General features: G+C 54.7%; 1 protein-coding gene across 3 annotated transcripts in view, besides 7 other annotated features; it reads right to left on the bottom strand.

Annotated features, from left to right (window-relative positions):
- The window catches only part of IFFO2 (intermediate filament family orphan 2), a 52,397-nt gene that overhangs the window by 15,032 nt on the left and 21,386 nt on the right, over positions 1 to 15,979 (bottom strand). For 2 of the 3 annotated variants that reach the window (XM_011540630.3, NM_001136265.2), the window contains exons 2-3: positions 1,750 to 1,810; positions 367 to 462 (exon numbers count right to left, since the gene is read on the bottom strand). In XM_011540630.3, the coding sequence (XP_011538932.1) occupies positions 367 to 462; positions 1,750 to 1,810 (157 nt within the window). The remainder of the gene's footprint in view (positions 1 to 366; positions 463 to 1,749; positions 1,811 to 15,979) is intronic. The other variant, XM_047444839.1, reaches the window with a different exon arrangement.
- Positions 3,027 to 3,607: an enhancer, noted in NCBI's record as "H3K27ac-H3K4me1 hESC enhancer chr1:19248832-19249412 (GRCh37/hg19 assembly coordinates)". NCBI's record gives its function as "activates a minimal SCP1, AML or CMV promoter by ChIP-STARR-seq in naive H9 embryonic stem cells {active_cell/tissue: H9 hESC(naive)}" and the evidence as "EXISTENCE:reporter gene assay evidence [ECO:0000049][PMID:30033119]".
- Positions 7,319 to 7,538: an enhancer, noted in NCBI's record as "active region_283". NCBI's record gives its function as "activates an Ori minimal core promoter by ATAC-STARR-seq in GM12878 lymphoblastoid cells {active_cell/tissue: GM12878}" and the evidence as "EXISTENCE:reporter gene assay evidence [ECO:0000049][PMID:35858748]".
- Positions 7,564 to 8,190: an enhancer, noted in NCBI's record as "H3K27ac-H3K4me1 hESC enhancer chr1:19253369-19253995 (GRCh37/hg19 assembly coordinates)". NCBI's record gives its function as "activates a minimal SCP1, AML or CMV promoter by ChIP-STARR-seq in naive H9 embryonic stem cells {active_cell/tissue: H9 hESC(naive)}" and the evidence as "EXISTENCE:reporter gene assay evidence [ECO:0000049][PMID:30033119]".
- Positions 7,819 to 7,938: an enhancer, noted in NCBI's record as "active region_284". NCBI's record gives its function as "activates an Ori minimal core promoter by ATAC-STARR-seq in GM12878 lymphoblastoid cells {active_cell/tissue: GM12878}" and the evidence as "EXISTENCE:reporter gene assay evidence [ECO:0000049][PMID:35858748]".
- Positions 8,439 to 8,528: an enhancer, noted in NCBI's record as "active region_285". NCBI's record gives its function as "activates an Ori minimal core promoter by ATAC-STARR-seq in GM12878 lymphoblastoid cells {active_cell/tissue: GM12878}" and the evidence as "EXISTENCE:reporter gene assay evidence [ECO:0000049][PMID:35858748]".
- Positions 8,859 to 8,908: an enhancer, noted in NCBI's record as "active region_286". NCBI's record gives its function as "activates an Ori minimal core promoter by ATAC-STARR-seq in GM12878 lymphoblastoid cells {active_cell/tissue: GM12878}" and the evidence as "EXISTENCE:reporter gene assay evidence [ECO:0000049][PMID:35858748]".
- Positions 13,418 to 14,405: an enhancer, noted in NCBI's record as "H3K4me1 hESC enhancer chr1:19259223-19260210 (GRCh37/hg19 assembly coordinates)". NCBI's record gives its function as "activates a minimal SCP1, AML or CMV promoter by ChIP-STARR-seq in naive H9 embryonic stem cells {active_cell/tissue: H9 hESC(naive)}" and the evidence as "EXISTENCE:reporter gene assay evidence [ECO:0000049][PMID:30033119]".

Raw genomic sequence — 15,979 nt, forward strand, 5'->3', positions numbered from 1 at the left:
ACCTGGCCCAACCTGCCAGACGCCCTGCTACGCCCAGACACCGAGGCCTGCCCTCATCAAGGCGAGCTGGGAAGGAGTGGGAGCAAACACACACAGACCATCAGGGGAGCCCGGGGGAGGGCGGGATAGGTTAAGCGGCAGATTAATGCATCTCTACTCAGACCGAGGGAAGCAGAAGTGGGGAGGGGGCGGGAGGAGGGTGCCTGGTCTCCGATGCATCCAATGCATCCGTCATCCTCATGGTCAAACACAGCCAGCCAGGATTCTAACTAGAAGCCGAGCCCCGGAGCCTCGGAGGGAATGAAGCATTTTGCATGATGGGTGTGGGGGAGGTCATGACACCCAGGGGCGGCGGGCGGCACTTACGTCACTCATAAGCCCCTTAAACACCACCAGCTCGGCCTTGAGCCGCTCGATCTTCTCATTCATCTCCTCCTGGATGGCATCAGCCTCCTGTGCTGCCTGCGGGGACGGAGATGGGGAGGCTTCAGAGGGGCCGGGTCCTCTGGGGATAGGAGGGTCTGGACACCTGAGTCCAGAGCCCTAGGCACCCGATGTCCACCCCAGCTGGGCACCTGCAGCCAGGGAAGGGGCACCAAGGACCTCATCCCAGCCTGACTTCCCACTGAACACTGTTGACTGCTTAAAACACTTTTCAAAGCGTTATCTATTACGTGGGAAAATCCATGGAAGGTATTAAAAGAGCAGGTTAATTAACAAGCAATCCTATTACGTTAAAAATATGAGATCAATCCGTGTGAAACTGCCAGTATTGGGCCATCTCTGCTTTCAAAAATGACAATGTCATGTGTGTCGACCTAACATGCGTCTGAAGAGCGTGGGTGTGTGTCCACACAGACAAGATCGGAAGGTCACACGCCAGTTTTTCAACTGTGGAAGGAGGAACTGGAAATAATTTTTATTTTTGGGCTTTTCTATAGTTTCCACATATTTGACGATGAACCCGTTAAATTTATAAAGAAAAAAGCCCTTTCATTATAAAAGAAAGGGAGATATTCAACCTTTTCCTTCTACGCATTGACAATTATCTTAATCTGTCTCTAACTGTCTTAGACGACAAATGCTTTCAGTATCAGAACGCAATTTCTAGACATTTTTGGAAGAACTTTTCATGCCTTCTCATGGGGTTGCTACTCTTGCTCCCACTTGTCAGAGAGGAAAATAGAGGCTGAGAAGATGAAGTTTGCTGCCCAGGTTACACCGCAGGTGGGGGAGTTGCAGAGCCCAGAATGCAGAGATTCCAGCTAGAGCAGCAAGGGGAATGTTCCCAAATGCCCACCACAGAGAGCCTGCTCAGGCTGGGAGCCCACCTGCGACGTGCCCACCTGCCCTCTCCAAGGCCTTCAGCCCCAACCGAGGGCACCCTTCTTGCTTGGGGGCTTACAAACCACCTAGTCCAAGCCTCAGGTGGGGAGACAGTGACGGGTGAGAAGGGTCGCTGGTCCCAGGTCATACAGCAGCTGGGACTTGCACCCCGGGACCTGGACCCAGGCTTCTCAACCCCTGCATCAGAGCTCTTGTGCAACACTGTGCTGGTCCATTCCTAGCTTCCAAGCAGAGGAAGTGGAAGGGATCTCTTGGCTCCATAAAGGAGAGACTGAGGTGGTAGGAGGTAACAGAGTAGGGGCTGTGCAAGAATTTCCTGGCTTTGCCGCATGAAGACTGTGCCCCTTGGCCACATGGCTCTCTGGCGTGCCTCTCCTGGTCGGGATATCGGAGGGCTCTTACCTCCTGCAGCGTGTCCACCATGGTCTGAAGGTTCATGCGCTTGGCGAGCTCCTCCTCCCACCTGCAAAAGCCAAGAGGAACAGGTGGTCAGAAGGTGAGTTCCCTGTGCCAGTCCAGCCCTCAGACACAACCCCAACACCCACCCAGGGACTATCTTGAGCTGGGCAAGGAAGGTGCATTGGGGCATCCATCCCTGCCTGCCCTCTGGGAGCTCCCAGCCTAGGGGAGGTGGTGTGAGAGGACAGCCAGGCTGACATATAACCAGAGTATCAGGTGGTGGTGACAAGTGCCACGTTAAGGTATGAGCCCAGCACTTCGTGAAGACAGAGGTGGGAGGGACCACCACCCTGCCTGCATGCAAACTGTAAAGTGCTGTGCAAGCACTGCTGCTCCTGTTGTTGCTGCAAGATGCAGTAGCAAAGCCAGTCCTTAGGAGCCAGGCTGCAGCCAGCTCCACTCTCAGGCTGTTCTTTGCACCCACAAGAAACAAACTTTTATTGTGCTAAGCATTGCGATGCCCGACAGCCTACCCAAACCAACACAGATCTCTCCTACGTAGGTGTTATCATTCCATTTTACAGAAGTGGAAACTGAGGCTCGGAGAGGTTAAATAAACATCTAACCCAAAGACACACAGCGAGTCAGCAGGTGGGGCTGTTTTATTACATTGAAACAAAACTCAATAAATACAGTTCCCACTGATTTAGCGTTTACTATGTGCCAAGCCCTGTTGTTCCAAGGGCTTCCACACCACTACTTTGACACGAGTACTGCCCGAAGCTGAATAGGAAACGCGGGCGGGAGGGGAGAAGGCAAAGGAGGGTTCAGTGGACCCCCGCCCTTAACTGCAGGAAGGGGTGGGAGCAGTTCCCTGGGACTGGATGATATTACCAATTCCAGAACCACCTTCACTGGGACTTACTTTGTACCAGGCACTGTTCTACATGAAGTTAATTCAATCCTCGTAACAACCTATGACGTAGGCACCGTCATTATCCCCAGGTGCAGAAAGCAAGGCCCAGAGGCACAAGCTGAACCCAAGGCCAGGGTGAGATAGTGTGGAACTAGGACTGAAACCCAGGTGGGGACGCTCCAGACTGGTTGCTCAGAATCCCCTTGCGGAGCTCCTCATAGACCCAGGAACTGTCAAAGCCTAAAGGCCCTAACCCAGCTCCTCCAACAGAGTTCCTCCCTCCCTGGAGGAAGCTGGGGGCAGGTTCTTTCCCTCCTCGGATGTCTGTCCATCCTGGGACAGACAGAGGAGTTTCTTTCCTTCCTCACCCCACTGCTACCCTCCCTACATGGCCTCGGAGCAGGGCAGTCTGGAACCCTTTTAGGATGCTGTCAGGGCCAGCTAAAAATAGGCCAGAGGGGAGGGAGGGGTGGAGAGCCGGTTACGTCACCGGCTTTTGGAAACAAGAGAAAACGGATACTGTTTGCACACACAGAGGAAAATTCCTCCTCTCTCCCACAGGAGACAGCCCAGCCAGGGCTCCTGGAGGACACACACTCTCTCCCTCTCCCCCTTTTCTCCAGCCTTTCCCAGCCCCAGCATTAGCTGTTAGGCTGAGATCTGCGTGGGCTCCCGGGCCCGGACCTGGAGGGCAAGGGGCTGGGATTCCTTCCAGGGCTGGAGGGCACAGAGAAAGCTAAGAGGGGGCAGGGAGGGAACCTAAGGGCCTAATCCAGCCAGGACCATCTCACTGAACCTCCCCTCATTGTACAGATGGGGCAACTGAAGCCGAGTGGTCAAGCCATTTGCCCACATCACCCAGTATATCAGGAGCAAGGCTAGGAGTCCGGTCCCAGGCCACCTCTCACCGAGAAGAGCAGGCCCCATGTTGGGGACAGGAATCACAATGGGGGGAAAGTTCCCAGGCCACCCCATCCCTGCCCAGGAGCACAGGGCATCTGGGGCTTCTCTGGGGGGTAAAGGCTGGAGCACAGGTCCCGAGCTGAATCATCTCTCCTGGCCACACGGCTCAGAGCGGGGAAGGCGACTCAATTCCAAAGCCGCTGAGCAGGGCAGGTGCAAGGGCGAGCCCCGGCAAGCCTCTGGCTGCAGCCTGGAGTCTAGAGCGAACCTGCTAACACATCTTGCAGCAAGAGCAGGAGTAGCAAAGAAGGGCACAAAAAATAAAGAATGGCATGGCTCCTCCCTTGGACGCAGGCACCCAGGGGCACCTCCCCGACACTCCCCATTCCCCAGAGGGGCCCTTGGGAATGAGGCCCAGCACCCCTCACTTCTCCTTTGAGCAACCATCTCATGAGGAAGGCGAGGCAGGGGCCAATAGAACCCTTGTACAGACGGAGAAAACGAGGACCAGAGAGGGAATGAGACTTGCCCCAAATCCACCCAAGGTGACAGCAGGAGCCCAGATCTTTGGCTTTCCAGACACAATAACAGCAACAGCACCAGCAACCATTAACTGGGGGGTACGTTCTGGGCCCCACACACCCGGCTCACTGCCTTGGACACACACATCACTGGCTTGAATGTGAATTATTAACCCTCTTGGGGAAAGAATTTCTAACTAAGCCCATCTTGCAGATGAGGGAGCTGAGGTTCAAAGAGGTAAAGTAACTTGTCTAAGGTCACAGAGCTAGCAAGCAGGGAGCTGGGACTCAAAGCTAGTCCAGTCTCTAAAGCAGCGTGTCTCAGCCTAGAATGTGCATACCAATCACCTGGGCATCTTATTAACATGCAGAAGCTGGTTCCGCAGGCGAGGGCTGGGGCAGACAGCTCCCCAGTGATGCTGGGCTACAGATGGCACTGAGTGGCCAGGCTCTGAAGACCACACAACCCAGCCCCTCCACCTCACCTCTCCCTTCCTGCCCCGAGTTCTGCACCCTCCCAACCCCACATCTCAATCGTGTTTCCTGACTGCACATACCACACCCCCAGGATGAGCTTGCACAAATGATTTCACGGGCTTTTTATTTCCAAAGCCAGACGGGGGAGGCAGCCGGCTGGCCTGCTCCCAGGAGGTTGAGGACAGACCCCGCATGTGGACAGCAGCTGGCTTGACTGAAGAGCCTGTCGCCCGCCCTGACATCCCTCCCGGCGGTGGTGGAGAAAACCTGGCTCCGCCAGCTCCAGTGTTGACAATGCAGAAAAGCTCTGTCCTTGGATCGTTCTGAGGACTGGCATGAAGGGCCAGGTGGGCGATGTGTTTCTTACGGCACTCCAGACACCTGTATTCCCTGCCCACCCACCCAGAGCCAGGGAGCACTCAGCTTAACTGAGAACTGGTGAACCAAGTTGCTGGCACAGAGATTTCAACACCAGCTTCCCAAGCACAACCCTCCCTCTTCCCTGGGTCTGCCCACAAGAGTAAGGTTTCAGTGGGGAGGGTGTTTCAGGCAGAGGGACCAACAGAAACAAAGAGGGCAGCAGGAAGGGACAGGCCAGGCGCTGTCTGCCACCAAGAGGCGGGTGCACCTACTTTGGATCAGCGGTTTGCAGACATCGTTTCCTTTCAGCCTGCACCATCCCCTCTCCCAGCCCCAGCCCATGGCTGAGCAAACGACTTGCCCAAAGACTGCCTAGGAAGTGGCAGCGCCTGGATTCGAACCCAGGTCTGACAGAATCCTACGCCCGGGCCCTTTAAGGCTGAAAGGGGAAGGAAGGCTGGAGTGAACATAAAGAGATCACTTTTGGGGCACAAAGGCCATTTTCCTCGAGTCTCCCTCAGCAGTCCAGGAGCTGTTCTGTTGGCTGGGGAGGGGTCCTTTCTGGTCTTTTGAAGACTCCAGAATATTGACAGGCCTGCCACTGGCAGAAAATGAGGTGACAAACACATCCCAGTGCTCTCTGCAGGGCCTTTCCATAGATCCCCTCCATCATACTGCACATGCACTGGGCTGGAAAGCTACCCTGTCCCCACTTTACAAGTGGGAAAATGAAGACCCAGGGCCTATGGACAACTCCAGCCACGGCTGACACGGCCTGAATCACTGAGAGCCGCCCCTGCCCACCCTGACCCAACAGCTCATAAAACTTCCAAATCCTTCTCTTTTCTAGCGCTGGATGAGAGAAGGGACATTTATTGATTACCTTCTCGGTGGTATCCACCACATTAGGCACTCATACTTCCCTCTATAAAATCCCGCTGAGCCCTCCCCTGGGGATCATCCCCATGTTGCAGATGAGGCTCAGAGGTCAGGTAACTCATTTCCCCTCTTCCTCTCTCCTCCTCAGCCTCCTGAAACCCTAGCCATTCTCCCAGGCTTGTCTCAAATGTCATCTCTTCCCCAAGCCTCACATCCACTTCCATTGTTTGCCCCACAGCTTAAAGCAGTGGAGGCCCCAGGATCTCCTCTTCCCCAGTGGCATGGTTGTGGGATCCCACGGCACACAGCTCTTGCCCAAAGGAGCCAGTCCCGTGACGCCAGGGCCAGTGATGGCTCCATTGTGTGGTCACCGCCACTTCCACCTTCCCCACCGCCACCGGGGGCTGGCACTCATCTCGGGAGGTCTCAGGCACAGAGATGGGGCAAAGAGGAAGCAAGAGGCAAGTTCCCTGGTCTAGGTGGGAAAACAGGCACAGGAGCCGGGTCTCAGGTCGGGGGTCCAGTCCTTCTGCAGGCCCAGAGAGCTGGTTATGATGATCATTCCTGTGCTTGCTACTGTATTCCCTGCACCTCAAACTGGCTGGGCACTTGCTAAGGAGTCAGACATTTATCGAATGGATTGGTTGGATGGATGGATGGATGGATGGATTGGTTGGATGGATGGATGGATTGGTTGGATGGATGGATGGATGGATGGATGGATGGATGGATGGATGGATTGGTTGGATGGATGGATGGATGGATGGATGGATGGATGGATTGGATGGATTGGTTGGATGGATGGATGGATGGATGGATGGTTGGATGGATGGATGGATGGATTGGTTGGATGGATGGATGGATGGATGGATGGATGGATGGATGGATTGGTTGGATGGATGGATGGATGGATGGATGGATGGATGGATGGATGGATGGATTGGTTGGATGGATGGATGGATGGATGGATGGATGGATGGATGGATGGATTGGTTGGATGGATAGATGGATGGATGGATGGATGGATGGATGGATGGATCCAAAGCTGCACTTACTCCTCAGTGCCCTGATGGCCCTCGCCTCCAGACAGAACTCCTTTCCCCCAGAGCATCCTTAGACTGAACATCCCAGCCCAGGGGCTCACAGGAGGCAAATTCCCAGCATAGCCCCTGCACTCAGCTTCATCCATTCGGCTCCAGAGCCTCTCCTGGGAGAGGCCAGGCCAGGCCAGGGGGAGGGATGGCCAGGGCAGGAAGCAGGCAGGAGAAGGAGAAACCTTCCCTTTCCCACTTCCCACAGCCCTGGGCCAGGGAGGGGAGGCAGGGATGTCAGAACAAAGAGTGCAGGGAGAGGAAATGACTCCACAAAAGCACAAAGCAGCTGAGATCAGGGGCCTCGGCCACCATCTTAGCAGAACAAGCACTCTCTGAGGCTGGTGGCCAGGAGGGAGAGGTGGCAGCACCACCCCAGCCAGATGTGGTCTCTCCGCATTCCTGAGGAGCCACCACTGGAACCACGTGAGGGACGAGAAGTCTCTGCTGGCCTCTGGGGAAAAGGGGTGGGCAGATTCTATGCCAGTCCCCACCCCCACCCCACTCAGGGCCAGTGCCTCCCCCTCTCCCGTCAGCTCAAGATGACACACAGACCCGCAGGAAAGGGACCGACAAGCCTGCCCTACAGAGGGGCGGAAACCCAAGCTGAAGTCACCAGCAGAGGGGCTGACTCACAGATTTTTCACTTCCTGTGCAGTCAGAAAAAGAGGCTCGAGGCTCCCGCTCAGGAGGAAAGTAGGTGCAGGCCCAGCAAAACAATGAAGCCCTCCAGGGACGAACCTGGGGCTCCTGGAGTGAGCATCCCAAGACACCAGGGCAGCAAGAGACGGGTTCAAATCCTGCCCCATCACTTCCCAGTTGCGTGATCTTGAGCAAGTCAGTTACCCTCTCTGGGCCTCAGTTGTCCCCTCTGTGAGTTGGGAAACCAGCCACCCCCTTTCGAAGGTGGCTGTGAGAACTACAGGAAGGGGATGGTGTGGGTAAAAGCACCCTGGCATCCAGCAGACCATGGGTGTTCAGCAGCTCCACGTCAACGGCACAGCGCATGGCTGCCTCCCACCTCCAGAGTTGGGAGGGAGGTGTGGAAATGGCCCACACCTTGCGGGAAGGCGAGCGGCCGGCACGCCTAGGCCGACTCACTCAGGTGAAGGGAAATGAGCTCAGGTGAGGCTGGGCTGGAGCCCTCAGTGGAAGACTTCATTCTGGGCCAAGCGTGGGCCTGGCCTCTGGCAGAGGGCAGGTGGGGGCAGAGAGCAGCTTCCTTCCCGGCGGGTGGAGGGCTGGCACCTTCTCAGCTCCACCCTGGCCTCGGGGAGCTCACCCCACTGCAGCAGGGCTGGATGCAGGTGGCCAGGGAGCTGTGCTGGAGCCCGGCTGCTCAAACCACAGATTTGGCCCAGCCAATGCCCCTCAGCTCTGCGCTGCCCTAGCTCCTGTGTTTGCCCACCTGCAGATGCACAGAGGCATCCTCACAGCAGAGCCAGGGCCAAGCCTGGGGGCCCCAATCAGCTGTTCTTCTCTAAAATAATATCTGAGCTGGAAGAAGAGGCTGCAGGCACAGTGGTAGACCAGGGGAGCCCTTTCTGCAAATGCAGTTTTGCAGAAGCTGATGGATTGGGAAGACCAGAGCAGGCTCCCCGGTGGGGTCAGGGCTGCGTGCCCCCAACAGCCTCCACTTGCTTCTTCTGAGCCCTTCTAGAGAACCTGAAAACCACAACCGAGTCAACTTCCTCCTTGCACACCATCCCCCTCGAATACCACAGACAATTCATATTTAAGGCAGAAAGAAAATCCGATAAGGGAGTGGGAGTGGGGCAGGGCTGGGAATACAATGTGGAAATCCCGCCACCACTGCTAACACAGGGCTCACCTCCTGGGCAGCTCAGCACTGATGCACGTGTGGATGCCTTGCCTCCTGACTTTCTCTCCCACATGGCACGCTGCAAGCCCGTCTTCTCCCCCGAAAATGGACAGCCAATAAGCTCTAGCCCCTGCGCATGAAAGAGGCCCCCTCCTGCCTGCCCCAAGCCCCACCCCCTGGGGACACCTGGCACCACCTCTTGTGGCCTCCCGGCTCCCATCTCCATGGAGCCCCTGATCCCAAGGAAAGGCTGTCTCGCAGACGTGCCCATCAGAGCCCGGCTGCCCAGCTGTACTCTCCAGCTCTCGGAAGGAAAGACAAATTAAATGCCAACTGATTGTCTCCACGGAGGAGGTATTAATTTAATGTGAACACTTAACCAGGGCAGCCGATTCCATTACAGGCGGGCAGTAATGGCCTGAGCAGGACGGAGCACAGGCTGTACACTGAGGATGGGGGCCAGGTTTGAGAAGCCACTAATCAAGTGTGCCCCCAGAACACTGCCACCCACACAGACACACAGAGCTGCTTTCAACCAGAAACGGCAGCCTCCTCCAGGGATCCCAGCGTGCCAGGTCTGCGCAAGGCTGCTCAGGGGAGAGGCAGAGGGGTCTGACATCCATAGGGAAGTTCCCTGTGGAAGAGCGGGTACTGGGCTAGGAAGCAGGAGGTCCTGGTTCATGCCCTGGCTGCGTTGCTAATTTGCTGCATGACCCTGAGCAAGTCCCTTCTCTGCCCTGGGCCTCAGTCTCCCCATCTATAATAGGATCTCCCAAAATCCCTCGGGACATGACATTTGCAGTGTTATTTGCACGCCCTGGATAGGGCCCTTCCTTGGAGTCCAGAAGTGGTGACAGCCTCAGGGATACCAACTCCATCCGGAGTTATCCTGGGTGCCATCAGGGCTCTGACAGCCTGCACTCAACAGCAGACACCCGCTGGGTGCCCTCTCCCAGAAGAAGCAGCAGCGTGGTGTGGGAGCATGCATTCATTCGTTTGCCCCTCACTCATTCATTCCATAAACAGTTCCTGAGGGCTTGCCACGAGCCCCGCAGGCCTTAGAGAGTCAAAGGTTGTAGGCAATTCTGCAGAAGGAAGGGCAGGTGAGCTGAGAAAGTCATCTGCCTCTGTGTGATCCCCTGAGGGCCTGCCTACCTCAAGCTAGGAGCCTCAGTCTCCACTTCTGTAAAACGGGGATAGCAATCCCACCTTGTAGGGCTCATGGATGGATCAGGAGAGCAGGCTCAAGTGAGGCACACAGATGCCCTTGACAGATGATGCCCATGCTCTTCACCGGTGTCACCCTGGCTCTACCCACCTGGGGGAGGGAGGGGCAAATGGGTGGGTGAAAGTCTGGGCCCCCTCAGCAAGGACACTTCTCCAACCTGTCCTGGCCCTCTGGGGACCCAGGAGCAACTGAGAGAGGCAGCACTGAAATCGAGTTGCTAAGGAGTTTTCCCAGCAAGGAGGTGAAAGTGAGTCCCATCGCCAGGCAGGGGGGATGAGCTGTGTGGGGTCATCACATTCCCCCACCTGACATTCCCCTCACCTGACATTCCCCCCACTTGTTTCCTGGTGACCAAGGGGCCCTTTGCAGGGCAGCTAGCTGGTCTCTGGGCTCTCTGTGGTGACTTGAGAGGTGAGAGGTGAGTGGGAAAGAACGGCAAGCCCCTAACTGGGCTCCGGCCCCCCAGCCACACACCCCTTCAGGCAACGAGGCAGCAGCCTTGTGCTGGAAGTCCTGAAGCTAGTCCTGCCTCTGCCCCAGCTGGCTCCGTGATCTTGGGCAAGTCCCTTCCCCTCCTCTGGCACCACTTTCCCATCAGTAATGCAATGATGTCAAACTGGATGAATTCTAAGGGCCCACCCAGCCAAGCCAGAAAACAACTGCCATGATCCCTGGACAAGCATCCTACACTGACCACAAAGCCGCCTGACAAACCACAAATGCTCAAAAGCCAGCTGAGACGTCTGTCCTTGCGTTCCAACCAGTGTGTGTAGTGGAGAGGGGAGCAGGGACTCTGGAGCCAGAGGGTCCTGGGATCAAATCCCAGCTATCCATCTTGCAGTTCTGTGACCTTGAGCAAGCTATGACCCTCTCTGGGCCTTGGTAATACCTCCCAGCTCCGAGGGGTTTTGCCCACATTCCATGGAATAGCATATGAAAAGTGCCCAGAATAGTGCCTGGTCTACCATGAGCATGCCATTGGTGTCATTCTCATCCTCACGACCTCCCAATGACAGCTGCTCAGAGAGGTGGGGAGAGGCTGGGAGAATGCTCTTGGACCACATCGTAAGTGAGGGGGTCAGACTTGAACCCAAGGCCATCTGACCCCAGAGCCACTGTCTGCATAACAGTCATGTTGTTGATAGTCATGGTAATGAGCTAGATGCCGCCTTCACCTGGCTGGGTGGCTGGCAGTACAAGGGGACAGGGTGGCAGAAGGAAAGAAGCCAGATGCTAATGCCACAGAACCCCCGTCAGCAAAACCCACTGAAAACCCTGCTTTCACCGTCCACACCCCATAGACATACCCCAGGAACTAATGGGCATGCCCAGCCCTTTGAGGTCTGTCCTAACAAGGGCCACTGTGGCAGCAGGTGGGTCCAGGGCAGGAGAGCCCAGCTGGTCTCATGGCACCTTCCAACACACACAAGGCATTTAAGGGTATTCACCCAGGCCAGCTGCTGGCTCTTTTGGGCAACATGGGGCCCAGGGAACCCCCGGGTCACCTGCCCCAATGCCAATCTGAGGTTTCAGTTGTTTTCTGAGCCACCTGTCCAATTCCCTCCTGTCTATATTTGCCCAGGTTCCCAGCATCACTGCCACTTGGTATTGCTTATTGAACACAACTTTGGAGAGGCTGAACATGGTGGCTCACGGCTGTAATCCCAACACTTTGGGAGGCTGAGGCAGGAGGATCATTTGAAGCCAAGAGTTCAACACCAGCCTGAACAACATAGTGAGATCCCATCCCTACAAAAAATTTTAAAAATTAGCCAGGCATGGTGGCACGCACCTGTAGTCCTAGCTACTTGGGAGGCTGAGGTTGGAGGATCCCTCGAGCCTAGTAGTTCAAGGTTGCAGTGAGCTAGGATCGGGCCACTGCACTCCATCCTGGGTGACAGAGTGTGACCCTGTCTCAAAAACAAACAAAAAACACCTTTGGAGAAACTGCAGCTCTGTGGACACCCATAATCCCAAGCAGCATGCTTGGCAGTGCCCTCCTCCCACTGCTTCTGTCTAGAAACTACACCCACGTGGGCACTCCCCCTACCCCTAAAAAACCAGGCCACTCCAAGGAGGAAATTGTCTCAACCAGCATCTCACAGTGAGGAAAAATCTGCATCACAAATTGCAGGCCACCATGAAGTTTCTGGAGTACCACTGCCAGCCTCTTCCAGGCTTGGGTACCCCTTCATCACCTCCTCCAGGGAGCTTTTCATGACTTCCCCAGAATAAGTCACTATGCCCATTCTGATGTTCCCAGTCCTGAACCCACTCCTTCAGCACTGGCATCCAGGGGCTGTGAATTTTCACTTCCCTGTCTCTCTCATCAGACTCCACTCTTCTACGAGAAGGGAAGAATTTGCATTTATTGTAAAATGCTGATTAGGTGCTAATCATTCGACACCCACCATCTCTAATTCTCACCACAGTTCTGTGAGCCGGATGTTATCATTCCCACTATACACACTCAGGTGAAATGACCTGTTCAAGGTCAAATCCAGGTCCATATGGCTCCCAAGCCTGGGCAGCCTCTCTATGGTCTGATGGTGTCTCGTCGGCTCCATAAGCCCCACTCCCTGCCCACACCCCCAGCACATCACTTAGAAAATGCCCCTGGGTTACAGTGCCACGGTCAGATGCACAGATGTGTACACATGGGGTCACAGTCACTGACCTGGAAACAAAGCCACTTTGCCCATGCACTTATTTCTCAGCGCCAGAGAACCCAGGGTGCAGGAAGGCCTCGGCACACCACCACCTCCACTGCCAAGGCAACGAGCTGGGGCCGGCACGTGGTGAGCAAGAAAGGCACCAAGCTCTGGAGCTGGACGGAACAAGGCTCAAATCCCAGTGGTACCAACCACACGCTCCCGGGCAAGTGATTTCCAATCCCTAAGCCTCCCCATTTGGTCATCATAAAGATCCCCCCTGCCTCTGGAGGCTGCTACAGTTTGTGAAAAGGAGGGTATACACAGGCTCCGAATAAACGGAGGCTCTCGTCCCTTCTCCGCCTTCCCTGTCACTGGCTCCAGGGTCTGAGAGAGCAGCAACCTTGTTTCTCTGGTCTGTAAAATGGTCTGTTTCTTTCTGGCTCCACTGCGCTATGGAAATCGTGGGGTTGCGGGGAGGCTGCAGCTTGTCATCCAGCCCCCAGGCACTGACTGCAGAGATCCCACCCCTGACCCCCCCAGACTGGGATGCCAGGAGGGGCAGAGGATCTGCACTTCTGAGCTGTGTGCCTTGAGCCAAGCACTTGACCGCCTGTGCTCCAGGTCCCCTAGCTTTGAGCAGGGGCTAACGGAAGAACCTGCCTTGCCAGGTTGTTGTAGTAAATGAGTCAACACACGTTTCACACTTAGCACAGTGCCCAGCTCCCAGTAAATGCTCAATAGATGGAAGCTATGATTAGTCATGGAACACGGCCTTTCTGCTGTCCTCCCTGCCATGGAAAATGGGTAACTCAGCTGGAGGGCAGTTCCTCTGTGTAGACTGGCCAAGGCCCCGGGGATGAGGCAGGGTACCTGGGTGCCAAACCAGCCCCCTCTGCTACCAATGCTCGGCAACACACCGACAGTCAAGACACACAGGAGGACGTCCCATCTCCCTTGTATCCAATTCGGCACCATATCCCAGTGCCTGGCACAAGACCTGGCACCAAGAGAGCCTTCATGAGCGAGCGTTGGGTGTTTCTGGAGACACCCAGGCCCGGCAGCCCAGAATATCTCCCACAGCCCAACTCAGGCTGGCTGCCGGCTTACATTTCATCTTCTTCCCCCAGGACAGAATCAACAAACATTTCCCAAGTGCTCACCCAGGAGCCAAGTGCTGGGGACACAGAAGTGGATTAAGAGTATTCTCTTCCTGCTGAGAGAGGGGAGGCGAGTTCCGGAGCTCTCGCTGGGGCAGGACCTCTGGCTCCTCCAGCCTCAGATCCTCAATCCCTTCAACCCAAGAAGTGTGGGAAGTTCTGGGCACTGGCTGCCTTGTGCCAGGCAAGCAGGGATGGAAGGGAATGCTCACCCTGGGACAGGGGGCATCTTCCTCCGTCCATGAGTGAAGGGGCCCCATCCAAGTTGCCACTGCCCATTTGTACCCAGGGGCACGAGAAAGGAAACCAAGCATCCACCATCACACTGAAAACATTGGTTCCCTTCAGCAGCGACGTGGGTGGCTGGGGATTATGGGGTAGAACTGTCACTCTGTCCCCTCTGTATCTTTTCTTAATACACATAACAGGCCAGGCACGTTGGCTCACGCCTGTAATCCCAGCACTTTGGGCAGGTGGATCACTTGAGCCCAGGAGTTCCAGACCAGCCTGGGCAACATGGCGAAACCCCATCTCTACAAAAAATTTAGCCAGGTGTGGTGGCACCGCTTATAGTCCCAGATACTCAGGAGGCTGAGGTGGGAGGATTGCTTGAGCCCAGGACCTCAAGGCTGCAGTGAGCCAAGATCGCGCCACTGCACTCCAGCCTGGGTGACAGAGCAAGACCCTGTCTCAAAAATAAATAAATAAATAAACCATATAACATAGAATTTACCATCTTAACCATTTTTAAAGTGGCATTAAGTGCATTCACACTGCTGTGCAACCATCACCTCCATCCATCTCCAGAACTCTTTCATCTTGCAAAACTGCAACTGTGCCTGTTAAGCAGTAGTACCCCGTACCCCTCTCCCCGCAGCCCCTGGCAACCACCCTTCTACTTTCTGTCTCTGTGGATTCGACTTCTGGGTACTTTGTATAAATAGAATCAGATAGTATCTGTCCTTCTGTGAATAGCTTATTTCTCTTATTTCTTTTTTTTTTTTTTTTTTTTTTTTTTTGAGACAGCGTCTCACTCTGTTGCCCAGGCTGGAGTGCAGTGGTACAATCACACAACTCACTGCACCTCCACCTCCTGGGCTCAAGCAATCCCCCTGCCTCAGCCTCTGGAGCAGCTGGGACTATAGGCATGAGCCACCATGCCCAGTTAATTTTTAAAAATTATTTTTTGTAGAGACGGGGTTTCACCATGCTGTCCAGCAGGTCTCGAACTCCCGGGCTCAAGCAATTCTCCCACCTTGGCCTCCCAAAGTATTGAGATGACAGGTGTGAGCCACCGCGCCCAGCCTGGCTGATTTCATTTAGCATAATATCCTCAAGGTTCATCCATGTTGTAGTGTGTGTCAGAATTTCCCCTCCTTCTGTATCTTTTTAATTTTGAATGATGTCATGTATACCTGCTCAAAACATCAAAACCACTTAAATTTTTAAAAGACAAAAATACCTGCTCGTTTTCCCCTTGCTTTAAATTGCATGAGTGTTTACAATGATTACACAAGAAATAGAAAAAGAAAAAAACAGGTAAGCCAGATAAAACCAATGTAAAACCCACCCAAATGAATCCCCCTCCCTGAGAGAATTACGGTTAACATCGGCTCTATATCCTTCCCAACTTTTTCTTATGAGATTTTCTCTTCTTATGAGATTGGTTTTTAACGACAACGGGATGCGACCATATGTGGTTTTCAAATGCATTTTTTCCACCTAACAATATACGGCAGCATCCTCCCGAGCAGGTGACACAGCAGGTGGCTGCAGGGCCACTGGTTTGATGGGTCCTCCACTGTCAGCGCAGAGTCCTTGCAATCTAAACAAGACTGTGAACACCTTTGTACCCTCACATTTGCATATGTGTCCAGGTATCCCTCTGGGATACCCAGATTGGGTTTCTGGATCAAGTGTGCAGATGTAGAAAAGGCTTTTGTGCCCCTCTAAAGAGCCATGTGTGACGTGTTAGAGAGAACGCTCTCTGGCATTCTCTACCACAGGCTCCCAGTTGCCCAGGGAGCCAAGGAAAAGCAGGGTCCTGGGCCCTTACTCCAGTTCCTGCAGCAACAATGTTTTGTGCCTTAGTTTCCTCATTAGTCAAAAGATTGCCTCCGTTGGGTGCAGGAAGACTCCGCTATAAATACTGTTCTTCCTCACCAGTGGCCCTCTACCTTCCCCAAGGAGCAAGGGTTGGGAGATCAGGCTCATCTGAGAAATGG

This window comes from Homo sapiens, chromosome 1 (genome assembly GCF_000001405.40).
Source record: "Homo sapiens chromosome 1, GRCh38.p14 Primary Assembly".
NCBI lineage: Eukaryota > Metazoa > Chordata > Mammalia > Primates > Hominidae > Homo > Homo sapiens.